Source organism: Homo sapiens, chromosome 6, assembly GCF_000001405.40.
Source record: "Homo sapiens chromosome 6, GRCh38.p14 Primary Assembly".
Taxonomy (NCBI): Eukaryota; Metazoa; Chordata; class Mammalia; order Primates; family Hominidae; genus Homo; species Homo sapiens.
In genome coordinates, this window is record NC_000006.12 from 147889286 (window position 1) to 147916927 (window position 27642).

Consider the following 27642-nt stretch of genomic DNA (forward strand, 5'->3'; position numbering starts at 1 on the left):
AAACTCACATATTTATTTTTAATCATTAGAAGTTTTATTTGGGTCTTTTTAATATCCTCCCATGCCTCTATTTAATGTATTCAATCTTTCATCTAGCTTCCTGAACACACAAAAGACAGTTGGAACAACTGCCTCAATTTCCTTGTTCACTAATTCTATAATCTGTGTTATTTCTGGGTCTGTTTTAACTGATTGATTTTGCAGTTTCCTGCTTCTTTATATGCTGTATAATTTGTTATTAGATGCTAGACAATTTGAATTTTACCTTATTGGTTGCTGGATATTTTTTATTCCTATAAATATTCTTGAGCTTTGTTCTGTCACAAAATTTGCGTCAAAGGATTCTTTCCCATTACGGAGGTAAGACAATTCCTAGTATCCTAAATATGCTCCCCAACAATGACGGGATTATGAGCCACAGGTAACCTAGCTGTTGAGAACACACACTACTCCTGGGCTCTGTGTGGACTCCAGGCATTTGTTTAGTCTGATCTTTGGGGTGAACATTCTTTCATGGACCTCAGATAGTTTCCTCAGACATATGCGTTGATCAGGACTCCACTGCGTTCCTACAGGAAACTCTCTGCAGATCTCTGGAGTTTTCTGTCTGTGCAGCTCCTTCCTCTCTGATATGCTCCCTTTGGCATTGGTGTCCCTAAACTCCAAACTCTGTCATCCTAACTCAGGAGGGCTGCCAGGCTCTGCCTAGGAACCCACTCTCTGCACCATGGCTTAAAAACTCTCTCGAGACAGTAGGCTGGGGCTATCATCATGTGCTTACTTTTAATAATATGAAAAATTTTAAATGTTTTGAACCAGGAAGAAACACAACACTATAAGCAAATATAAAGACAAACGTGAGATTGAGGAAAAATATTGTTGACATGTGTAGCAGAAAAAAATACTACTATTAAAAATAAACAAAACATAAATCATTAAGAAAAAAAGATAACCCAAGATAATAACAGTCAAATTCACAGAAGAAGAAATATACATAGCTAAAATGCATATAAACTTACACTTGACCTAATTAATCAACAAGATAAGGTAAATGAGGTATAATTTTTTCAATTATCTTTTTTTTTTTTTTTGAGATGGCATCTTGCTCTGTTGCCCAGCTTGGAGTGCAGTGGCATGATCTCGGCTCATTGCAACCTCCGCTGCCTGGATTCAAGCAATTCTCCTGTCTCAGCTTCCCAAGTAGCTGGGACTACAGGCACACACCACCACGCCCCGCTAATTTTTGTATTTTTAGTAGAAACAGGGTTTCACCATATTGGTCAGGCTGGTCTCAAGCTCCTGACCTCAGGTGATCCACCCAACTTGGCCTCTCAAAGTGCTGGGATTACAGGCTTGAGCCACTGTGCCAGGCCTCAATTATCTTAAATGATAAAAAGATCAATAAATTTCATTGTTGATACAGATGCAGGAAAATAGAGACTCATGAAGGCTATGGATATTTGGATAGTTTTTTTTTTTTTAACAGAAGTTAAATAATTTGTGTTAAAGATTAGATGTACATCCTCTTTCAGTTCTGGCAGTCCTATATTTAATACTAATTGCACATGTGCATACAAATTTTCAAAGAAGGTATTCACTGAAATAAAATTGGAAACAACCTAAATGACCATCAGTTGACAATGGCACAATGCACTATGTTACATCCGTATTGCAGAAAATAAAAGAGCTACTAAAAAAATGTGGTAGCCCCGTATGATTGCATATGGATATTTCTAAAATATGTTAAGTGAAAAAAATTACAGATGAATACGTCTAGTAAGATCCCACAGATGTCTTCAAAATAACCTTACATAAGAGAATATATTCTTATGAAGATGTAAAAGCATTAAAAAATATTGGAAGGCTATGAATTCAGTATCAGCCATGGTTACCTCTTGGGGAGGAAGGGAAAAGGGGAGCCAGTTAGAGGGAGAATTGCATAGTCTACATAACTTCTGTATCACTCGAATTCTTAGAATAGTCTATGTATTATTTGTGTCATTATAAAATTAAAACATGGGGAAAACTCATGCCAAAATGAAAGAGAAAAAGTTCAAAGGGAAAATGAAAAGAAGGAAAAAAATGCAATCTTGAGATTTATGGCAGACTAGTGGATATCATGTGGCATACTTAAGTTGCTTTATTCATTCATGGTCTGTGTTGAGGGGGGCCATAGGACATAGAGGAACATAATAGAATTTTAGGGGGTGGTAAGTACTCATTATTCATTGGTAAAATGTGGATTTGGGGCCCTATGATGAGATTAAATGTGTAAGAGAAGCAATTCCATTTGAGGATAAGGGAAGGCAGAGGCTTTCACATTTCCAGCTGATTGTTAAGGACAGACAGGTAATATTATAAAAAATCGAATGTAAGAAAATGTAGTTTAAAAAATGAGAAATCCATTTCTGAACTCATTTAAGCTTTCTCCCCAGATCTAAGATGAAAGCTCATCAGCTGTAAATACTCAGTGCTTTCCACCGTGACAGAGTTTAAATTAAAACAAAAAAAAAACCTAGAGCTTGGCAGGAAAGCAGAGGTCCATGGTATGAACCTGTGGCCAGACGTGCCTGGAAAAGAAAGAGCAGAGGCTGAGTTTCCGTAAGGTCCTGTTTCTGCTGGCTGTAGCCCTCCTGCAGATTCTGGGTTTCTGTGGGATGGTTTGCTTAAGCAAGAATTTGTCAGTGGGTCAACAGCCCTCTCCAGTGAGGAGGGTGCGTCGGGCTCCTGATGCCGAGTCCAGTCACATTGCACGGCTAGCCTTAGGCCGACAATGCTGGATCAGTCAGGCTCTCCTGGGTTGCAAATACTAGTTCCTGAAACCGTCCTTCCTCTCTCCCTCTCTTCCTGTCTCCCTTCTTGCCTCCTTGTTTCCTTCTTTCATCCTTTTATTCATCAACAATTTACTGAGCAGTTACTGTGTCAGGCATTGCTGTAGTGGAGATTCTGGAAATACAGCAGTGACCTCGACAGAGAAAATTCTTTCACAGCTATACCTCCTTCATTCTTGGTCTATTTTCAGAATTCAAACTTCTGAATGTAAAAATTGGCTGCCCTATCAGGGATATTATTCACTGATTGTGAATTTCTTGCTTTACTTTCTAGAGGTAATTGTAGTATGCATTGCAAATGAATTACCATTTTGGTTTATAAACCAATCCCTTATTATTTTATTTGATATGAATTAAACTCCCTGGGTAATTCTGTCTGTACTGACAAAATTCCAGTTAGGGATCTGTACATCTAAGTGTTACATCTCTACTTCTGCTGCCCTGTAGGTCCTGTCTTGGTTCCCTCCTTGAGTTACATCTTTTCCCCATCTCTCACACGTAATACTTAATCCTTAGTGAATGGCTCCAGTTGCTAATTAACTAAAAAGGAAATATTCGGAGAGCTTGGAATAAGAGATGGGATGGGAAAGGCAGCGCCTTAATACACAGCAGAGGGGTTACTCCTAGAGACATCCACCATCTGCTCCTGTATTTTGAAATTCTTTCAGATTAGATTTAGATTCTGCCCAGAATCTATTGCCACAACTGTAATACTCATCTCTTCATTTAAAAAAAATAATTGTAACTGTAGGTCTCTTCAATTACTGGCACTTTTTGAATAATAAAAACTAACATTTTAAAAGTATTCAGTATGGGCCAGGTGTGGTGGCTCATGCCTGTAATCTCAGCACTTTTGAAGGCTGAGGTGGGTAGATTGCCTGAAGTCCGGAGTTCAAGACCAGCCTGACCAACGTGGTGAAACCCTGTCTCTACTAAAAATACAAAAACTTAGGCGGGCATGGTAACACATGCCTGTAGTCCCAGCTGAGACAGGAGAATCGCTTGAACCTGGGAGGCAGAGGTTGCAGTGAGCCAAGATCACGCTATTGCACTCCAGCCTGGGCAATGAGAGCGAAACTCTGTCTAGAAAAAAAAAAAAAAAGTACTCAGTATGTGTCAGGGACTCTGATTAGTATTTGACACTCTTATACTCTTGGTTATTATTATCCCCATTTTACCTATGAGGAAATGGAGGATTAGAGGAGTTACATCAGTTGCCCAAAGTCATTTAGTAAGTTATGGACCCAGAATTTGAAGCCAGAATCTGACTCCCGAGCTCATGGTCTTAAGCACTCTGCATTCCACCACCTCTTGGTTATTATTATATAGAAATTTAAAAACCATAGTAAAACTTAAGAATATAATGTACAGGATTGTGGTAAGGAGTAAATGGCCCGCTAGGAGGAAAACACTTAGCAAGAGGATGGCTGTTGATCTTCCTTCGCTGAATAAACTCCATTTTTTTTCAACCTTTTCCTCAAAATGTGGTAGCTTCCACCAGGTTAGTTCTAAGCAGCACAGGATCTATTGACACTATTGCTTGACCTGTTCTGTACTGATACTTTGTCTATTCAGCAGCTTATGAGTGCATTTCTTTTTTTAGCATCCAAGGTAAAATTGCTGTTCATATTAATTTTATAGTCATCTAAAATTTCTCTTTAAAAGATGAACAGTTCTTAAGCAGAACTTACCCATTTTTGTACTCAGGTGGAGGTAATTTTGGTGTATTTCTTTCTGGTCTTTTCTCTAGATGTAAGTTTGCATAGACAGGTTTAGATAAAAATGAATATATACATTTTTGTTTAATAGCCTACTCATTTTTCATAATATGTATCATGACTATTTCTCCATGTCATGCAAGATTCTTCCAAAGCATCATTTCAAAGGCTGCATGGTATTCCATGACACAGGTGTACTTTATTTAATTCATCATCTTTGAGGGGATTTCTATGCTCTTTTCCATGTGTCTAATGCCACTGGTTTTTTTTTTGTTTGTTTCTTTGTTTTGTATTTTTTTTTTTTTTTTGAGATGGAGTCTCGTTCTGTCACCAGGCTGGAGTGCAGTGGCACAATCTCCGCTTACTGCAACCTCCATCCCCCAGGTTCAAGTGATTCTCCTGCCTCAGCCTCCCGAGTAGCTGGGACTACAGGCGCACGCCACCACACCCAGCTAATTTTTATATTTTTAGTAGAGACGGGGTTTTACCATGTTAGCCAGGATGGTTTCCATCTCCTGACCTTGTGATCCGCCTGCATCGGCCTCCCAAAGTGCTGGGATTACAGTTGTGAGCCACCACATCCAGCCTAATGCCACATTTTTGATACTGACTCTGTAGGTCACCCAGAAAAATAAGTTCCCAATCTGCCCAGTTCCTAATGATACAGTTCTGAGACTTGTCCTGATGCTGCTGTTCAATGATGCCAGCAGTGCATCCGTGAGACCTACTGGGGGGAAACATGTTGCTAAGCAGTATTTATAACCCCTCTTAAGCAATTCTTTAGGAAATCCCATATTAAACACAGCAGAAACAGACCCCATTTATCTCTGAGGACATGAATATTCATATGCACTCATGAAGACAGTTTTTCTATTTGCATAGAATTTATATTTTTGGTGTGTTTTACTATATTCAAGACACATACACGATCTCACTTGATACTCAAGAAAAGCCCATTTTACCAATGAAGTAACTGAGGCTCATTTTTTGGAAACTACCTCTCCAGCAAGTGGCAGAAAAGAAATTCACATCTAAGTCATGATTCTAAACTCTGTGCTCCTTTCTGTCTATTTGAGGATTAAATTTTGATTCATTAGCATTTCGGTAATAGGAAGTATTAGCATATCAGATTTGCTCAAGGCAAAGTGGAATTTTCTCATCTCACCTCTCATTAATAAAAATTATTCTGCAGGAAAGAATTGCTACAAAGCTTGATTAGTTAAAAACCAATAGCCTAACTCTAACATCAAGATATATAGGCATCGATTTTATTTGATGAAAAGTGCAGCTTAGGAGGAGCCCAGGCCAGCTCTAAGCACTGGCCCTGCCTTTTCTTGCAAATGCTGAAATGCTATCTTTAATGTATTGTCATTTAGAGGTGACAAAGTCCTTAAGACCCATGAACATTACAAGTGCAACAATAAAACATGATTTTTTTTTCCCCTGGAAAATGCCCTTGTTACAGTGCTCCAAAAATGAGTTAGAGATGATTTCTTTGTTGCCTCCATAGACCTTTAACTGGAATATATTCAAGGCTTTCTGTAGCTTGCATCCTTATAAATTTATTCTTGTCAGGTCTAGCCATGTATCAGGCTCCTAGAGTGAAATATGAGAATGAAAATGGAAGCAGCATCAGATGATGACACATTTGCCAGGGGAATTCAGAGTGAGGGAGACTGTCCAAGGCGAGGAGGTGAGCCCAAGATAGAGCATCGCAGGTGGCATCCACTGTTCCCTTCCTATTCCTGCCATTGTTCAGATCCTTGAAAGCCGAGCAAATGAGAGTAATGAAAGGCTTGATTCCGTTACACTGCCTTGACTTTGCTGCCAATCATATACCTCCAAATCCTAATAAAAGCACATGGCACTTCAACACAGGGATAGAAGATTGAAGAAAGAGGCTGACTGGTTTGACCTCGGCCACATTAGAAAATCAAGTGGCCTATAAGATCCCTACAGCAATCGGATTTTGTTGTGGGTAAAGCCTTCCCCTGTAGACAGAGACACTGTACCAAATAAACCATGCTATTCCCAAGAAACTGGACCCGGAAATGTTGTCTTCAAAGACAATTTTTGGAACATAGGACTCCAAAGTCAGGGAAATTGGAAGAGACAGCTGGGGGTCTTAAGCACTAATATTTGATTAGTGAAGGCAAGAGGGAGTGTGTTGCACGTGGCATAGCTTCCACAAACTTATTTTATCTTCAAACATTTTATTCAGGTTTTATGGAACCTCTGTGTGATTAAATTATTCTCCTGGTAGTCCTGATAGTGCACCTGAGGACTTTGGGGAACTTTGCTATTTTCCTGTTACTTTCTGCATTCTCCAGAATGGTCACATTAGTGTCCTTGTCTTTTAATTCAATTTGATCTGTAACACATCTGTTGAACACATTGTGTGGTGGGTGTGGTGTGTCAGGGATAAGACGGCCAAGGTCTGATTCCTGCCCTCATGGAGCTCAGCATCACTGCAGAGACGTTCAGAATAACAACTAGAAATCCCTGAGATAAGGACTGGACTCTGAGCTGGGGCTGGGGCTGGGGTTGGGGGAGCTCGGAGACAGGACAATTCATTCTGCCTGTGGACTTGAAGGAAGCTTCCTTGGTGCTAAATAGGCTGATCTCAGAGCTCTGGAAGGAGAGGAGGTACATGGTCCAGTTAGGGAGCCGGAGTCTCTGCAGGATGGTTTGCCACATGATCTGGCCAGCAGGGAGGAAAGGTGGATGTGGAGACGGGATGTGCAAAAATTAACCCAGTAACAGAAAGAGCAACAGATTGTAATTTTTAAAGTAACAATATTATTTAAACTAAAATGATGGTAGTAAAAATTCTTCAAGTGGAAATATTATACTGTGGGAGTTTTTTTAAAAAAATTCACTGAATATTAGAAAAGAACATTAACCAAAAAAAAAAAAAAAAAAAAAAAAACGCATCACCAGCAAAGTGTGAAAGTGTGCAGTTTGGGGATTTGGCCATAATCATTATTCTCCAAGTCTTCATAGCACCAATATTGAAGTATTGACCCCTGCAGAGCATGGACGAACCTCAAAATAATTGTACTCAGCAATCGAGGCCAGTCACAAAAGACCATGTATTGCATGATTCCATTTATATGAAATATCCAGAAGAAGCAAATCTGTAGAGGCAAAAAGTACATCCATGGTTGTCTGGAGGTGGGATCGGGGGAAGTGACTGCTAATGGGAATGAGGTTTCTTTTTGAGGTTAAAAGAAAATGTTCTAAAATGAAAGTATGATGATTAGATTATATTCTAAATATACTAAAAATGACTGAAATGTGTATTTTAAATGGGTGAAGTTTACGATATGTGAATTATGGCACAATAAAGCTGTTTAAAAAATCTTATAGCCCCAGCTTTACATGCTTAACCACAAGCTTCATTTGCAGGTTTAGACACAAACTAGAGGGGGGAAAAGATAACCCGCTAGATTGTACTGTGCGTGTGTTGAAATGCATCCTGGGTGACAGCAGGCGATCCTTCTTGAACTGCATCACCAGCCTTACGTCTGGACTATTCTGGACTGCCCAAAGGAGAGCAGTCTTGGAGGAGGGGGGCCAGGTCAGCTCCTGCACTTAGACATTTGTGGAAAATGACTGGAGCATGAAGGTCATTTCTAGCCGTAACAGCAGGGCAAGACTGGAAATCATGGTGTGGTGGAAAGAGAAGCGGCCTCATAGGAGCAATCAAGGTCATGACCCAGCAACTATGTGCTTACTAGTTGTGAGGCTTGGGGCAAATCACCTCATTCCTGGGGACCTTCAATTCTTCTCTAGCAAATGGGAATTTGGATTATAAAAACGTAGCCAGACCAGGCGCAGGGGCTCACACCTGTAATCCCAGCACTTTGGGAAGCCAAGGCGGGTGGATCACTTGAGGTCGGGGGTTTGAGACCAGCCTGGCCAACATGGTGCAACCCTGTCTCTACTAAAAATACAAGAAATAGCCAGGCCTGGTGTCACACACCTATAATCACAGCTACTCGGGAGGCTGAGGCAGGAGAATCACTTGAAGCCGGGAGGCAGAGGTTGCAGTGAGTAGAGATCGGGCCACTGCACTCCAGCCTGGGCAACAGAGTGAGATTTTTCTTAAAAAAAAAAAAAAAAAAAAAAAAAAAAAAAAGTAGCCAGGTGAGGAGAATGTAGGATGCCAGCTGCAGGCTGTCAGGATCCTTCAGAAGATGACATTGACCATGGCAAGTGGATCACAGCTGAGGGCCTGGTATTTGTCTTGTCAGGCTCCAAATCTTAATTTCTATGACTTTGAAGCTGACCCTTCCTTCAGTGGCCAATGCTAAGCATACCCACAGGACTTGGGCTTATATGCTAGCTTACCGATTTATAAATTTACAGCGTGATATATGACTGCCAAGAAGACTCAGTACTCATTTCTCCCAGCCAATGCATCTACTCCCTTTAAAAAAAAATCTAAATCAAATGCCAAATTATGATCAGAAGGTTACTCAGTGAGCTACCAGTGAATCACAAAAGCAGATTCTGGGCTCCAGTAAGCCAGTGGGTTCAATTTATGATAGTCACTTATTTATCTCCCTCTAGGACAGAACAAGCCAGGTTGTGTGCTTAGGTCAGAACTGGTTTTCCCTGAAGTGCCTGGATGGGCACTTCCTCCCTGCACAAGCATCTTTACTAGATTCACCAGCAACCTCACTACCAAAAGATCAGTATCCTGTTATGTTCAGTTCTTTATCCTGTTAGAATATAGCTAATGGTTTGCTTTTTAAATTTCTGACTCAGGAAATATTATCTCCAAGATCTCTTTTTGAATAATCTGGTCTTATTCATTGCATATAATTTCTGTAGTTTACCTTTAAGAATTTGGGGAGAGCCTTGCTGTATCACATTATAGCATATAATCATATAGTATTATCATATGTAACTTATGTATTCATATGTATACATACATGTGCTTATATATATACACACATATATAGTCATGATCAAGCAGATAATAATATTTCACCCTACAGCCAATAATAAGAGCGTGCTGATTGATGATTGTGAAAATCAAATAAGATAACATGTGTTGGCCGGGCGTGGTGGCTCACCCCTGTAATCCCAGCACTTTGGGAGGCCGAGGCGGGCAGATCACGAGGTCAGGACATCGAGACCATCCTGGCTAACATGGTGAAACCCCGTCTCTACTAAAAATACAAAAAAATTAGCCAGGCGTGGTGGCAGGCACCTGTAGTCCCAGCTACTTGGGAGGAGAATGGCGTGAATCTGGGAGGTGGTGGTTGCAGTGAGCCAAGATCGCGCCACTGCACTCCAGCCTGGGTGACAGAGCGAGACTCTGTCTCAAAAAAAAAAAAAAAAAAAAAAAGATAACGTGTCAACAGTGCATTGAAAACTGTAAAGTATTTTCCTCATGCAAGATATTAATGACCAGCCTTGGGAACCAGATCCAATTTGGCACTATCACTACACCTAACCTAAATACATAGGAGTTGTGAGGCTTGGGGCTAAGGACCAGCTGGAGAGAAGATAATTGTCAAGGTCTCAAACTGCATGTCCTGGAAACAGCTCAGGCCCACAGTGTGTGTTTATAAGGCCTACAGAATGTTTTTAGATTTTCAATTGATTGCCAAAATTTAAAAATGAGAAGAAATCACAGAAAAGGACATATTTGTCTACTTCTATGGAAAAAATAGACTAGCAGAGCTAGGCTAGTATTCTTGCATAATTACAGTGGTAGCATCCTTCGAGAAGGCATGAGCTCTCCAGCAGGTAGTAGACCCTGCCGCTCCCTCTTGTCTTACTCCAGCCTGTTCTATTCATTCACATTACCGGAATGGCATCTGTAGGCATTTGAGTTGTGACCTTTGTGTGTGGACTAATTTCAGGGTTTCTGGGAAAGCTCTCCCTTACAAAAGCCTCTCCCTAATATTTCCTCCCTGATAGTTGAAATTAATTTACACAGACCAAAGGCTTGTATTCCACAATTAGTTAGAAGAGCTCACACTCTAGGTAGAGTTAAATTATTCACACCAAGTTGTAAAATTTTTTTAGCTGGGCCCCTTCCCTGGTAGAAGTTTTGGATGAGTTGAGGGAGAGACTGTCCAGCTCCAGGGAGGCAGGCAAGTGAAGGAGTCCCAGAGAAAGAAGGAAGAAGGGAAGCAAGAAGGTAAATTGGTGATGCTAAAAGCAAATGTGAATCTATCTGGTAGTTTCATTGGACTTTATTTCTTTTAGGATAGACCCAGTCTCCATGAAGTCTTGAAGACTAAGTCCTAATCTACAGCCCCTGGATGTCCTGTTGGTTTTGAACCAGCACAGTTCTGTACTAGGGAATGATTGTAACAGCTGTAGAGCAAGTATTGTTCCCAACTTGTCAGGACCCATGGAGGATCGGTCAAAGGAGGGGGAAAGCTGTGACACGTCGCTTCCATACACCAAAATGGCTCACATGAAGCAGAGATGATGATCATTTCCTTGATATTGAGTTGATAAAGGTTTATCAGCCATGATACACTCTGAAACATGCAAGGAATTTGCAAGAGCTCACTGGGAAACGAGCCAGTTCTCCTATTTTGTCTTTCATCATTTTGCTGGAGACGCAAAAGTGTGCACACAGGTCATTCGTATAATGAGCAGTGCTGCGGTAGTAAGACCAGCCCCGTAATGAACAGGATTGCCCCAGCCCGTGATGCTGATGCAAGTGAGATAGGAGACAGGAGGCTAATGTGTGCTTGGTCGGCAGCTCACCTGCCGAGGAGGAATGAAGAATCACAGGAGAGTTACCTAGATAGTTAGGGGAAAACAGAAACCCTCTCTGTTTTTTCACTGTCACTAATTGTGCCAGTTATCTGTGTCGCTTTGAATGTAAGCAGCTCGCCTATTCAAACACAGCAGGCCATCCTATTGCTGGAAGAGTTAAGGAAGGAGAAGGCCAGATGACTCCCCAGATTAGATGTAATGCCACCTGTCATGTTTTTATTATGATTTTCAAAAGCATAAACTTTTAGCCTGTCCTTTCGGTAGTTATTATGAATGTTTTGCCTTATCTCGTTTTTTCTATTATAAAACAAAAAGATAGGGATTTTTTTAGAATCACAAAAAAATTTATTTGAATACTTAGGTAGGGTCTAAGGGCTCAGAACCTTGTTTTTCTAAATAAGCATATTCATATGCACATAGAAGAAATAGCATTAAAAGCTTAAGAGTGTGATGGTCAGGGTTCACGTCACAGCTTCATCAACTACTAGCTGTATCACTCTGAGCGAGTCAGTTAACATCTCTGTGCCTCAATTTTTTCATCTCTAAAATGGGCTAATGATAGTACCAGTATTATAGAGATATTATAAGGATTAAATAGGTTAAGATACCTAAAGAATTGGGAATAATGCCTAGCCCACAGTACCTACTTGGTAAATGTTAGCTAATTTATGGTTTATACATCCATACATATCTATGTGTTTATACAGTAGGATAGTTAATTGAAACAGTTATTTAAAGCATATTTATCTCAATTATGTAAGTGGAAAGTAAATTTTTACAAATAAGAGAGTTCATCAGGTGTCATTCTTGAAGACTGCAAAATGACAATTTGGTATGGTTACATAAGAACTAATCTTCTCCTTTCCTAAAGTTCATTCTGTATTCATTTATTGTAATATGTTAAAAGACTATGTGCCCTTTGTAAAGTAGTTTTTTTCCATGCTGGATTAAATAACTTCTTTGTACATCATTTTCACATTTGGATGTGGCCATTTCTATTATACTCAGGGTAGCCAGAAATCTGCCAGTTTTCTGGAACTAAAGTATGAGGATAGGCATCTGTATCTGAAAGAGTGGAAAAGAAACAGAAACTTGACCACAATATTGGAAGCTTCGATAGGTATAATCACTTATTTAGCATTCATTCCATAGGCAGCACTAGGAGGCAGTGCTAAGACTTCATGTTATACTTTTTATAGGTAGAATATTATTAAGCAACCCTTCATACCCATGTCTTTGTGTTGATTTCCTTACACTCCATTAGGAATCCCCTACCAATATCCCTGTTCCACTTCCTTAGTTTCCACCAGGTAAATGAACTTCTGAATTATTGAAGATTCTCAGCCCCTCAGCCCTAACATGATACTTAATGATATTCTTTATTTCCAAAATGGCCACCTGTCCTCATTCTTCCTTGGCTTAGGTATTGTTTCTAGTTCAGAAATCAATAGTCTCCTCTTATGACATAGGGCCTGAATATTTTCTGATATTACATTGCTTTTGTAATTGTGGCTTTCTAATTTAAGCCTTGAATAGTATGGCAATCAAGGGGGAAAAAAAAGCAATCATTCCTGGTCCAAATGGCCCCACACATCTCTCAGAGATGGCTCTAAACCCTTGTTAAAACTGTGTTCATTTGACATTTATCACATTTGTTGCATTCAAAAATGCTATGTATCAAAGCCGCATTATAAAATCCAGTTAGGGTTTTAACTGTTCCTAAGGCATAATGTGAATGAAACTACACCGAGAAAGTTTGGACCTTGATTTAGTTTTGAAAAATTCTTTGTTCCGCATCTTCTTAGGGATTCATAGAGCTCATTTGCATATCCTTGTGCTCCCAGGAACACATGGTAATGAAATAGAATTAACCTTATTTAACCTAGTATTTCTCCAACTAATTTTTTGACCATGGGAGCCTTACTTTTTCTCAGAATCTACATGAACCTGTCACCAAAACAAATCATCTGCACACACTTTGAGAAAGCCATTCTAAAGAGCTGTGTCCTCCTAGTTACTTCTGCGATTAATGCTAATAAAAGATTTAATTATTCTCTTAATTCTAATTGATTCTAATTGTGAGAAATATCCTGTGATCCTGTGTTTCTTACTCACCATCCTGACCTTGTCCGCTGAGTTTCTAATCATTCTTCAAAGAGTGGCTTAAATACTATCATCTTCTTAAAACTTTTTCTGTTCCTCTCCCAGTTTATCCTAAAAAGCAATTTCCTGCAGCCCTCTTATCACATTCTGATTTTTATCATAATTATGTGCACACCTGTATATTCTGAAGTCAGAAACAGTGCAAAATTCCTTTTTGGATTTCCTATAAAACCTAGTTTAAAATAAGTGTTTAATAAATATTTTTGGCTACATTGTAAGGCATCAGTTTTTATACACCTTCCAAAAATTCATTTGCCAGAAAAGATCTTTTGAAGCCACAATCTTGGCCATCTATAATATCAAAAGGTAAGGAGGAGTGTTAATTATTTCCTCTATGAGGTCAGGCCTTCAAGAGAGGTAGCAAATCCTCACACATACAATTATAGTGGAGCCACTGTTCCATGGCTAATTACTTATTAGTCATTTCATTGCTAATTTAATTAATCACATTAATATAAAACTTTATGTTGATTTTGTAAAATGCGTTACAAGTTAGGTCAATATCCTGGCCCTCATTATATGGATGGGGAAAGAAGACATAAAACATTGATCTGATTGATTACCTCAAGGTTATTCCTTATGGTAAAGATAGAACAAAATAAAAACTCATCTGAGTCCATTTCTAACACCCTGAACATCTTCTGATTGTAACACTAGGACTAAGGAAATGCATGTTTTTGCTAAATGTGCACCTGTTCAGTGCAGATTCAGAAGTGATGCATGGCCAATGGCATCGTCTAACAGCAGTCATTTCAAGATGGTGGACTGACCACAAATGGAAGCTGATTCACTGTCAAATATGTGTGGATAATGCTAGGAAGCTTAAGCAGATATTTCTGTAAACATTAGATTTATTTTTTATGAAACTTCCAACATCAGCCGGGTGCGGTGGCTCACGGCTATAATCCCAGCACTTTAGGAGGCAGAGGTGGGTGGATCACAAGGTCAGGAGTTTGAGAGGAGCCTGGCCAACATGGTGAAACCCCGTCTCTACTAAAAATATAAAAATTAGCCGGGCTTGGTGGCGCATGCCTGTAGTCCCAGCTACTTGAGAGGCTGAGGCAGGAGAATTGCTTGAACCCAGGAGGTGGAGGTTGCAGTGAGCCGAGATCATGCCACTGCACTCCAGCCTGGGCGACAGAGTGAGACTCCATCTTGGAAAAAAAAAAAAAAAATCTTCTAAGATCACTTAATATTCTAACAGGCATTGTGAATTTCCAAGGTGGTCCTAGAGTATGGAGTCCCCAGATTTCTTTGTCTATGAAGCAGACTGTACAAAATGTTGCTGTACATTCTCCACATTGTGTTTAATCAGTCTGCTTCCAGGAGAAGCCTCTTAACCAATCTCTACTAGCTGTCTCATTCCTGTGGTTCATCCTTCTGTGGCACTAACTGCCAGCTATTCACTAACATTGGTTCCTCTCTTCTTTAATAGCAGCTAGATCTATGACTGCCCAGCTGCATTTAACAGCCTCCTACGTAGCCAGGGGACTAGTTTTCCCCATTGGCGTGTGCATGAAAATGATAGGTATAACTTACAAGCCTGGCCCCAAAAAGCTTCCAAATGTGCTCCAGTATCCTCTTCCCATGGACTCTAGCTCTAGTCCTATGGCTAGACTAGAGCTACAGGAGGAAGCCACATGTTGAAGATGGCAGAGCCAGTGCCTAGCCTGGGTCTCTGACGAACTTCATGGAACACAGCCTCTGTCAGTCTAGTCACCCAGCTTGGATTATGTGAGAAAGAAAAACATTCTATTGTGTTTGAACCATTACAGTGTGGGTCTGTTTGTTACAGTCATTTGCCCTGCCCTCATACACTTATACTCATGATTTCTCTTTCCCAAGCCAGATTCCTTTGTCACAAAAGTCAGTGACTCACCTCACACCTGATTGCCTGGGCTGATCTTCCATTTCTCAAATTGCAGCCCCTGCAAGCTAAGCTAAGGAGCCTGGGACTCTTGACTGCTTTTCCCGCTTGCGGTTGCCAGCTTTACCACAGAGATCCCTTTTCCCCGTCACATACTCTGAATTTGGAAGAAATTCTACTGCTTTGTCTAATTTTTTATATTACTCATATGTGATATTCTTCATTAGAACATAACTCAAAACTAACATAATGGTTTTAAAATAGACTTTATGCCTTTTTTTTTTTTTTGAGGCGGAGTTTTGCTCTTGTTCCCCAGGCTGGAGTGCGATGGTGCGATCTCGGCTCACTGCAACCTCTGCCTCCTGGATTCAAGCAATTCTCCTGCCTCAGCCTCGTGAGTAGCTAGGATTACAGGCATGCGCCACCACGCCCAGCTAATTTTTTATTTTTAGTCGAGACGGGGTTTCTCCACATTGGTCAGGCTGGTCTCGAACTCCCGACCTCAGGTGATCCACCCGCCTCGGCCTCCCAAAGTGCTGGGATTACAGGCGTGAGCCACTGCGCCCGGCCTTTTTTTTTCTTTTGAGACAGAGTCTCACTCTGTCACCCAGGCTGGAGTGCAGTGGCACAATCTCTGCTTAGCCTCCGCCTCCCTCCAGGTTCAAGTGATTGTCCTGCCTCAGCCTCCGGAGCAGCTGGGATTACAGGCGTGTGCCACCATGCCCGGCTATTTTTTGTATTTATAGTAGAAACAGGATTTGCCATGTTGGTCAGGCTGGGCTCGAGCTCCTGAGTTCAGGAGACCTGCCTACTTTGGCCTCCCAAAGTGCTAGGATTACAGGCATGAGCTGCTGCACCCGGCCTATGCCTGTTTTTTATTCCAAATGTTTAGAAATTTTAGAAAATATGGATAGGCAAAAACAAAAAAACAAAATCACCTCTAATCTCACCACCTAGATATAATCACTGTCAATGTGTTGGTATGTAACTCATGACTTACTGATCATATATAAAATCGTGAAATTGAACATGAAAACTTAGGTCTACTTAAAACCACAGATCTAATTTTCACATGAATAAAATACACCAGGGAGTTCCAGAAAATTAATTGATTTCAGAGAAGGGTAAATACCAACTTTTAGATGAATTCTAAAAATGTGTGGGCCCCCAAGATAATTTTCTTATAAATTTCCAGTATGCTCAACCAAATGCCAAAGACGCCTATCCTCTGAGGCTTGCCTTTTATTGGGCCAAAGGGATATGTAGTTGTTTTGATATGTTGCAAAGCTCCAGGCTCTGAAACCCACTAGACGCTGAGCAATTTGAGGGCTGCATGGGGCCTTGTTTCCTGTTGTCTCAGCACCTGGTCCACAGCGAGATCTCAGAAAATGCTTTTTGAATTAGTGGCCCTGGACAGTTTATAAATTATAAATTGTGTCCTCAAGTATTTCTTATGAAAATAGTCACACAGCATCCCAATGCCAAATTGTTTCAGATTTGAGAACGCTTTTAATGAAGAAAAAAGGAAAAATAATTTCTGAAGATTTTTCACCATAGATATTTTTACTTGAATTTTTGCTGATACTTTTTTCTCTATTTTGATTGCCTTTTTCTTCTTTTCTGCCTTTTGGTGACATTGGCAGGGCCTGGAGCTCAGCCTCAGACAGAAAATTAGACTACGATGAATTTTTACCTTGCATTTTGAAGATATACCAACTTTCTTCTCTGCCACTGGGCTTACATTCTTCACGGGTAAAAGTAGAAGGTTGGACTCAATGGCCTCTGTCATGCCTTCCTTCTGGCTTTTACACCCCAGATTCTACAGATCCTGTCTCTGGCCAACAGAACACCCTTAAAATTACTCAAGGAAGAAGAGGGCCAAGCCTGAAAAGAATCCATCTGGTGACGGCCATTGACAAGTGCCTGGAGCAGTGATTTATTCTTGAAGAATGCCCTTTCCCTGTTGATGCTTAGTCAGCAGGGACAGCTGCTGGAAGAGGCATGGGTAGGATAATTCGTAAGTCATTTTTGGTAGAATATCAGGAATCAGTGCTCAGTGAGGTGGGAGAAGTCTACATACTTACATAAAATCATAAACTACCTTAAGAATAGATCAAACAACATGCAATGCACACTTCCAGAAAAGTCTCGAGGCAGGTAGCGTTTTAAGTTTTTCTCCTAATGTCTGTATAACACATTTCTTTTGACATTCCATAGGAGAGTAACTTTAACTTTAGCTGAAATAATTTTTAAGTTTACTATTTTAGGCTGAGAGCTGTAGCTTGAGGATTTAGGTGGCTTTGTCCTGACAAATAGTTTTTTCAAAGGTATTTTCTTGTAATAGCCAGTGCAATAGCTGCCTCCCTCTGCTTTTACAGAACATTTTGATGCTTGAGGTCTGCCGAAGTCTGATTAATCTTCCTTTTGCCTCAACACTGGGCACCTTCTTCACAGAAAGTCAGAGGATAAATGCAGAGGGCCTCCTCTGAAGCTTCAGTTTGTCCCCAAATCTCTTTCAGTCTGGAAGAACCCAGTACTCTAAAGTAGTCTTCACTCTTGCAATTGAGGTGGTTTCCCACTTAAGATCCCGGGTCTGGCAGGGTACATTGGCTCATGCGGTGGCTCACGCCTGTAATCCCAGCACTTTGGGAGGCATAAGGCTATTGTGACAAAATCACACAGCAAGAGCTCAGTAAATATTCTCTCCTCCCTTCCTGCTTTTTCTATGCTGGGCAATGGACATCAAATCTGCACATACGTTACAGGATAAGAAAGAAAAGTGTCCCCCATATTATTAGGTTGGTACAAAAGCAATTGCAGTTTTGCCATTACTTATTTTAATGGCAAAGATGCAATAACTTTTGCACCAACCTAATATCTACCTTGGGAATATCTCTGTGTTCACGTGGGCACTGTGCTTGGTAGGTGATATGGAAGTTTAACTCATCTTTTGGAGCAAATAATGTGGAGAAAACAGACCCTACAAACAGCAGGTGACCACTGGTCTGAGACACAGTGAGGACATCAGCCAGGACCCCACAGGGGTGGGAGGAATCTTTTCCTCTCCCTGTGATATCTTGGATTGCCCTCTTAGAGAGTTTTTCCTTTGACTAAGGCCTTTGTTTCCATAAAAATGCAGATATTCCCAAGACAGCAGCACAGGAAACCTTATCATCCATGTGCACAGTTCATTTTTCAGTTGTGCTATTATTCTCTGTAATGATATTTTTTTACCTGTATGAAATCTCACATGCTCAGGTGCATTCATTTTATAGAGTTTTAAAGCTGATAACCTCAACCAAAATGTGTATTATTGGGTTTTATTTTCCCTTTTTTTCTGCAGTAATTTCAAAGGTGTAACTGAGCTTAGCTGTAAATTGCTGGTTTTAGCTCTTCATGGCAGGCAGCATTTGATCATTGACAACTCTGTTTTCTTCATTGTTTCCTGACTAAAATCTCCACAGCCTCTATAAATATGTAAATTACCCAAATCACTAGTTTTCCATTATTTCTGCCCCTAAGCTGTTTAAAATGTTTCTATATTCCTACATTTGCAGTGCAAAACAGAGCAGCAGGTGACAGCTGAGTTTGACTCTATTATGGAACCTCTATTTAGCAGCTACTTGTTTCAAAGTTTCTGACAATAAATTTTGTCCTAGGGTGGGCTCCGTGTCCTGTGCTGAGGCTGGCAAAGGTCAGAATCCAACGGAACAGGAATGCAAAGATGTTTGTGTGTGGATGCAGGGCCTGTGGACATCTCATGCTACATGAAATGCTGCTTGTGAACTCTGGTTTTATGACAGTGGAAGTAAATGGGGTTCTTTTTATTGCCTTCTCTTCCATTGGCAAGACTCAAGTAGTGAACCTAACCTAACGTGGTGCCTGCATATGATTTTGTTATCCTCTTCCGATTCATTGTCCATTAAGTGAGTCTGTCATGAGCTGGATCATTGGGTCTCTGTGTGGGCTTGTACCACTTTGCAGCAGGGAAAGAGAACAACTATATGTTGCATATATATTCCTGTGGATTTGTGTAGATACATATATGTGCATACAGCTTGAGAGAAACCAACAGAGAGAGACACTGAAACAATAGGAGAAAATTTTAGGAAAGAGATCGTTGTCAGGAAAGCTTATTGAAGGGATCTTGGGATTTGCTTACCCAATTCAAACCCTAGTGCTGAGGATGAGAAATAGGTTTCTGTAATGACTGCCTCACATGACTGAAGAAGCCCCAAAAGTGAATGTGTATTTCAATACCAGATGCAGGCTAAGCCTGAGATAGGCATCCATCTAAACTAGGCCTCAGGCTGGGCACAGTGACTCAACGACTATAATCCCAGCACTTTGGGAGGCCAAGGTGGGAGGATCACTTGAGCCCAGGAGTTCGAGACCAACCTGGGCAACATAGAGAGACTATGTCTCTACAAAAAAATTTAAAAATTAGCCGGCATGGTGGTGTGCACCTGCAGTCCTTGCTACTTCAGAGGCTGAGGCAGGAGGATCACTTGAGCCTGCGAGGTTGAGGCTGCAGTGAGCTTTGCTTGCGCCACCACACGCCAGCCTAGGCTGGAGACCCTGCAACAACAACAAAAAAACTAGGCCTTGATGTGGAGGGGGTAGGAACCATCAATCTGTGAATGTGTTTATTTGAATCTTGGAGGCTGCTTTTGTACAGTAAAGTCCTTGAAGAATCTACACTAAATTCGAGTCAGTAATGTTGATCTCACTGAAAATGAAAACCCATTGTATTTGTATGGTATTACACACCTTTGAAAATGTTTACATGGTAGTTTCTGAAAACCTGTGGGGTACATAAACTGCTAATGTCTCCACTTGACACAGGAGAAGAGAGTCAAGAAAATTAAATAAAACATAATTATTAAATGGGAAAAGAGCTCAAACGGGGAACAGGTACTGGCAAACTGTGACCATCCATCTTTTTTCTTTCTTTCTTTCTTTCTTTCTTTCTTTCTTTCTTTCTTTCTTTCTTTCTTTCTTTCTTTCTTTCTTTCTCTTTCTTGTCTTTTGTACCATCTGTCCTCATAAATAAAGTTTGATTGGAGCTTTAGGGTGGAACAGCTGTCCTCGTTTGTTTGCTTATTGTCCATACTGCTTTTACACTGCAGTGGTAAGGTTGAGTCGCTGTGACAGAAAACTTATGCCTAAAATATTTACTATCCAGCTCTTTAGAGAAAAAGTTTGCTAACCACTGAGCTGAATCACAGGCCTCCCAGGAATGCCCATTCAGTCTACGGTGACAAGGCCGGTTCATGTTACACCCCAGGAACTTTGTCAGGTGTTCGTGTGGACCCGGAGCATGATGTTATGAGGCTTTCATTATCCCCATCTGAACTCATTTAGTGCTCCAGTGTCTTGATGTATGGTGACAATTTTCGGGGAGAGCAAAGGATGTTTTAGAGCATTTAGTTTTCATAGAACTTCAGGAAATTATCATCTAATCCCTCAAGAACCATTTCCCAGTCTGGTAAGAGAGAATGTGATCAGTAGGGTTTTTTTAATGTTCTCAATGACCACACTTGGCCCATTTTAGTGACAGATATTCCCCTCAAATAGAAGGGATCACTTATTCACCAAAGCGAATGGTACCCTGGGGACCCTCAGTTCTCATTGCCTACCCACCCCCAGGCCACCCAGGTGCTAGGGCTCCTGGCAAGTGGCGTATCTGGGGGAGAAGATGCTTCCTGACGTCACACCGCTCTCACTTGCAAAGGGGTTGGCAAGAGAAGTGAGAAGGGAGGGAATGAGCAAGAGAGAACTGGGACTATATCTCTGCTGCCACCTGCTACTCTCTCCGGGCGCAGCGGTGCCCTCTTTACTTCTCAGCCATTTCTTTAGTGACCCTGCTGTTGCTGGGTAGAAAATGCCACTCAAAAGGACTCAGGGCTCATGGAAAACTCCCTGCAATGAGTCGAAAGGCTCATGTTGTTTGATCTAAAGAGAACTATTATAAAGTGACCCAAAAAACCTCGGATCCATATGTGTCCAGGCTGCGAATGAGAGGAGCCCATTATCTGGAATCTTTCAGACTTTTACACAATACGGTGGAGCTCTGTCATGCCAGATAATTTGTGCTGGCCAGTCTATATGTTATTTTCAAAAAATAGAAAAGAAAGATTTTTTTCCACCTATACAACAAATCGCATATAATTAATGACTAGTTATATTTTATTTGGAGAAATAGCAGTTTTACAAATATATTTTGTAATGATGTTTTCAGTGATCGGGATCCTCAACACAGTAGTGCATACAACTAAAACCTGGATTTGTTTGATCTCTTGACAGACAGTACTAATTGTTGACGCTAGTCACATTTTCAGGAATAGAATACATCTCTTTGTGGTGTTTTCTCGAGAATTGAATGTTCTGTCAAATACTATTTGAGATCCTTTGAGGTGGGTGGATATTATTCGTCCTTGACTTAGCCTGTTACCTCTGGGCAAAATGATTTTTTAAAAGCCTGCATGTAACTGAACAGAAATGCTTACAAAGGGATAAAATTGTGGAATGTTTTTCTATGATCTATTTTCCTTAAAGTGTCCATAGTGAATGAGAAGGAAGCTCTCTTTGGACCCTGCCTTAGCTGGATGGCTACGTCAATGCTGTAGCAACACGGTTGTTTAGCAGAGGTAAACACTGCCTGCTTGCCTCCTTATCTTACTGCCTTCTGTTACCTTCAAAAGTCAGGATTCCCAGGTTAACTCACCAAAACTTTAGATCTCCACCATATGAAGTTAACACATCAGCTGACAAGTTAGAGTGAAATGAAACTGAAGATTCGGCTCCTCTTCCTCCTTTATACATGAAGATGTCATAGCCCAGGGACTCTGAGCTACAAAGCCAAAACTGGGATCCAAATTTAGGGCCCCTGCTCCACACTCCTGAGATCTGTGGGGCAAAATATGTTAGCAATCTCTGGCCAGTCCTTTCCCTGTTCAATCCAATAGTGTCTTTCTTAGAAATGCCTTTCCCTTTGACCAAGATGGCCCTTTTGCACATTCTAGGAGATCTGCACAGAGTTACCTTCAAGACAGTGCCAAGCCTTTGCTGTACCAGTTATCTATTGCTGTTTTAGAAACTACCCAAAAACTTAGTGTCCTAATATTATGACCATGTGTTATTATTTATGAATCTGTGGGTCAGCTGAGTAGCTGGTCTGGGCCAGATGCAGCTGATCCCAGACAGACTAGCCATGCATCAGCTCTCAGCTGTTGGGTTGGTTGGGGCCTGCCAGATCTAGAAGGGCCTCACTCACCTGTCTGGTGATTGCCTGGCTAAGAGTGATGGCTGTAACTAGACCATATGTCTCTAGCCATTCATCATGCTACGACAGATTTTTCTTTCACAAAACAAGGACAGACTCTCAAAAGAGTGTGTGCAAGCATGCAAGGCCCATGAGGCCTAGACTCAGACCTGATGCACCGTTACTTCTCATAGATTCTGTTGGTCAAAGCCAGTCCAAGACAAAGGGTGGGGGAAAAGATTCTATTTCTTTTTTTTTTTATGCTGAATGTTTATAATTAAGTAAGCTTACTCTAAGAAGCACAAATTTAGAACACAAGAAACTAAAAACTTCTTAGTGGGAAAAACTGCAAAGTGTGATTAGAGGAAGGAGTGGAGAATTGGAGCTATTTCTTGCAATCAGTTTATGTAGATGTGAACCTAGGCCTGGAGCCCTAACATATGAATCATTTAAAATTGGAAGATATGTTAAATATCCAGCCCAGTCCCCTCAATTTATAAATGAGGGAACTGAGGCCCTCTCCAACACACAGTTCCTGATTGTCTGCTTTGAGCCAAAGCCAAATCCAGTGAACAAGCTGCTTAACTTTAAATAGCTATTAAATAGAGCATAAAAGGGTAAAAATCATCTTAGGTCCATTTCTAGCTATCTAGGCATTATCCTTCAATCTAGCAGTCCACCTTTTAGGAGTTCACCCTGAGCATACACCTCCAACAATACGAAAGTACAGATGCACAGGTTATTCATTACATCAGTATTTGTAACTTTGCAATATTGGAAACTATCTAGATGTCCAAGCATAGAGAGTGATTGAATGGCCTATGGTACATATATACACTGGATTACTATGCAGCTGGAAAAAAATGGTATGAGAATGATCACCAGGAACGGATACAGAGTGATTTTCAGGATAAAGTGTTAAAGAAAAACAGTGACATCCAAAAGAACATAGGCTATATTTTATATAAGAAATAAGGGAAATTATTAAAATATATGTACCTTTGCTTATTTTACAAAAAAAAAAAATCAAGAAAAATAATCCAGAACGCAATGAAGTTGGTTATCCTCAAGGAGTGGGAGAGAATAGGTTGGAAAATATACAGTAAAGAGAAATTTTTTTCTAAGTATACCTTCTTGTACAGTTTTCACATTAGGAAGCATCACTCTCTATCCTTTCAATCCTGAGGTTAACTAAGGAAGTACATATTGGAAAAATATAATTAAATCTTTAGAGAGGAAAAGGATTTTAGAAACCTGAAAATGAAAGCAAATTGAAACAAGTCAACCTGATTGTATTTTAAATGAATATCCCAACCACAATCAGTGCAAAAAAAAGAAAGGAAGAACTAGTTCAGGTAATTTGGGAACATCATATCTGACTACCTGTCCTCAGTATCGGGCAGATAGGGGTAGGGGCAGAATTTCAAGCAAATATTGGTATGGATGAAGCAGTTTTGAAACAATTTTAAATGTATTATAGGATTGATCAAACACATACATGAGGAAGAAGAATCATACAAATATGAAATGGGGGCTGGGGGCAGTGGCTCACACCTGTAATCTCAGCACTTCAGGAGGCTGAGGTGGGTGGATCACCTGAGGTCAGGAGTTCGAGACTAGCCTGGCCAACATGGAGAAACCCTGTCTCTACTAAAAGTATGAAAATGAGCCGGGTGTGGTGGCACATGCCTGTTATCCCAGCTACTTCAGAGGCTGAGGCAGGAGAATCTCTTGAACCCGGGAGGCGGAGGTTGCAGTGAGCTGAGATCACGCCATTGCACTCCAGCCTGGGTGACAGAGCGAGACTCTGTCTCAAAAAAACAACAACAACAAAAAATGAAATGGGGAACATAAGAAGAAATGTTGTGGGGGATGGACTTGAATTAGATGTATTTATGTGAACTATCTCTTTAAAAACATTATGCACATACATGCATGTGTATATATGCATTCACATACGTGTGTGCATGTATGTATGTGTAAGCAAGTGTGTGGGTGCATGTGCGTGCTTCCTAATTCACTCACCACTGAAAGACACCCATGAGCAGTGAGCACACACAGCATCCAGATCTTGGTCTTTCATACGATTCCTTGCTCAAAGGAACCAGGGCTCCCTGGAGAAATAGGTGATTGCAGTGGAGTCCTGGTTAAGATGAGGCTAGAGCAAACTTGTCCAACCTGCGACCCACAGGCCGCATACGGCCCAGGATGGCTTAGAATGAGGCCCAGCACAAATTCATAAACTTCCTTAAAACATTATGAGATTGTTTTTGCGACTTTTTTTTTTTTTTTTTTTAGCTCATCAGCGATCGTTAGTGTTAGTGTATTTTATGCATGGCCTGAGACAGTTCTTCCCTTCTAATGTGGCCCAGGGAAGCCAAAAGATTGCGCACCCCTAGTGCTAGAGATTTTGTCATGTTAGGAAGGAAGGAGATGCTAAAAGAAAACAGACAACAACAACAACGACAACAACAAGATAACCACAAGGCATTGAAGTCAGCTACTGAGGAGTTTGTTTTGACCAGAGCTGGGACAATTTGAGTAGCAAAAGAATTATAGTAACTAATTACACAGAATTGGAAAAAAGGAGGAATTCATGCCTCCCTGTCAATAATAAATTGATAATGGCAGAAAAGGGAGGGTCATTGCTTGCGGTGAACTCGGAGTGGAAGAAGTGCTGAATTGGAGAGTCAGCCTTTTGCAGCCATCAAAGTGAAGGTTGAATCAGGCAAAAATCATCAAGCATTGCTAAATGTAGGGGAAAATTTTGGTGCAGAATATGTTTGCATTGACTTACAATATCTCTCCAGTGACTGCTTTTTACTTGCAAGGGGAAAAACAGTAATTATATAGTGGAGTAATCAGTTTCACACCTTGACTAGGTGATCAAAATTATTGCCATCAATGAGACCTGTGCCTTCAGATGTAATATCATAAGAAAGACATAATGTCACCTGTAATATTCAGGATGAGAATGATAATCATGACGAAACATCAGACAAATGCAAAATCCTGGACTTTTTAAAATAAAAAAGGGAGCAGGAAGTCTTCATTTTCAGAAATTTACATATCATAAAAGGCAAAAAATAAATACTGAGAATCTGTTCCAGATCAAAGCAGACTAAAGAGACATGAGAACTAATCTCAGTATCTGACCCTAGACTAGGTCCTGTACTATGGGGGAAAGAAATGCCGAAAAGGACATTATTGAGTCAATTGATGAAATTGGAATACAGACAGTAGATTAGATAAAAGTATTGTGTCAATGTTAAATACACAGAAGTTGATAGCTTTTCTGTAGTTAGGTAAGAAAACATCTCTATTCTCATGAAATACATGCTGAAGTACCTAGGAGAAATGGGTAAGATGTACGTTACACCCTCCAATAGTTCTGAGTACATAATGATACATAATTTCTGTATTTATAGAAAAACAGAGAGTCTGCAATAATAAAGCAAATGAAGTCAACGTTAGGTGGACTTTGTTTTTGCCATTTTTCTGTAAATTTGAACTTATGTCCAATTAAAATATTTAAAACATTTTTTTAAAAAGACAAATGAGTTTGAATACTAGTCCACTATCTACTAGTTGTGTAACCTAGGAGTCTACTTAATTTCTCTGATCTTTGGTTTCCTCATTAGAGAAACAAGAATATCACCTTTCTTGTCTTCTCTTGAGGATAAGCCATTGCGCATCAAGTGACTAGCAAAGTGCCTGGCCCTACAGAGTATGCATTCAATAAATGACAGCTTTTCCATTCACATCTAAACATACTTAGGTTATCGTTACATCAACTGCTTTATTGGTGAAGATTCTCTTTTTTCAAAGTAGTCTGAAAGCTCCAAGAGGAAAGAATTGCATTTTCTGCAAATTTTTGTTTATTATTATACTTCAAGTTCTAGGGTACATGTGCACAATGTGCAGGTTTGTTACATACGTATACATGTGCCATGTTGGTGTGCTTCACCCATTAACTCGTTATTTACATTAGGTATATCTCCTAATGCTATCCCTCCCCCCTCCCCCCACCCCACAACAGGCCCCGGTGTGTGATGTTCTCCTTCCTGTGTCCAAGTGTTCTCACTCGTCAATTCCCACCTATGAGTGAGAACATGCGGTGTTTGGTTTTTTTGTCCTTCTGAGAGTTTGCTGAGAATGATGGTTTCCAGCTTCATCCATGTCCCTACAAAGGACATGAACTCATCATTTTTTATGGCTGCATAGTATTCCATGGTGTATAGGTGCCACATTTTCTTAATCCAGTCTATTATTGTTGGACATTTGGGTTGGTTCCAAGTCTTTGCTATTGTGAATAGTGCCGCAATAAACATACATGTGCATGTGTCTTTATAGCAGCATGATTTATAATCCTTTGGGTATATACCCAGTAATGGGATGGCTGGGTCAAATGGTATTTCTAGTTCTAGATCCTTGAGGAATCGCCACACTGTCTTCCACAATGGTTGAACTAGTTTACAGTCCCACCAACAGTGTAAAAGTGTTCCTATTTTTCCACATCCTCTCCAGCACCTGTTGTTTCCTGACTTTTTAATGATCGCCATTCTAACAGGTGTGAGATGGTATCTCATTGTGGTTTTGATTTGCATTTCTCTGGTGGCCAGTGATGATGAGTATTTTTTCATATGTCTGTTGGCTGCATAAATGTCTTTTTTAAAATTTTATTATTATTATACTTTAAGTTTTAGGGTACATGTGTACAATGTGCAGGTTAGTTACATATGTATGCAGGTGCCATGCTGGTGTGCTGCACCCATTAACTCGTCATTTAGCATTAGGTATATCTCCTAAAGCTATCCCTCCTCCCTCCCCCCACCCCACTACAGTCCCCAGAGTGTGATGTTACCCTTCCTGTGTCGATGTGTTCTCATTGTTCAATTCCCACCTATGAGTGAGAATATACGGTGTTTGGTTTTTTGTTCTTGCAATAGTTTACTGAGAATGATGATTTCCAATTTCATCCATGTCCCTACAAAGGACATGAACTCATCATTTTTTATGGCTGCGTAGTATTCCATGGTGTATATG

General features: G+C 40.4%; 1 protein-coding gene across 1 annotated transcript in view, besides 1 other annotated feature; it reads left to right on the plus strand.

Moving 5' to 3' along the window:
- SAMD5 (sterile alpha motif domain containing 5) overlaps nucleotides 1-27642 on the plus strand; it is a 445991-nt gene that overhangs the window by 380596 nt on the left and 37753 nt on the right. The gene's annotated exons all lie outside the window — the stretch shown is intronic.
- Nucleotides 15379-15879: an enhancer, noted in NCBI's record as "H3K4me1 hESC enhancer chr6:148225800-148226300 (GRCh37/hg19 assembly coordinates)". NCBI's record gives its function as "activates a minimal SCP1, AML or CMV promoter by ChIP-STARR-seq in primed H9 embryonic stem cells {active_cell/tissue: H9 hESC(primed)}" and the evidence as "EXISTENCE:reporter gene assay evidence [ECO:0000049][PMID:30033119]".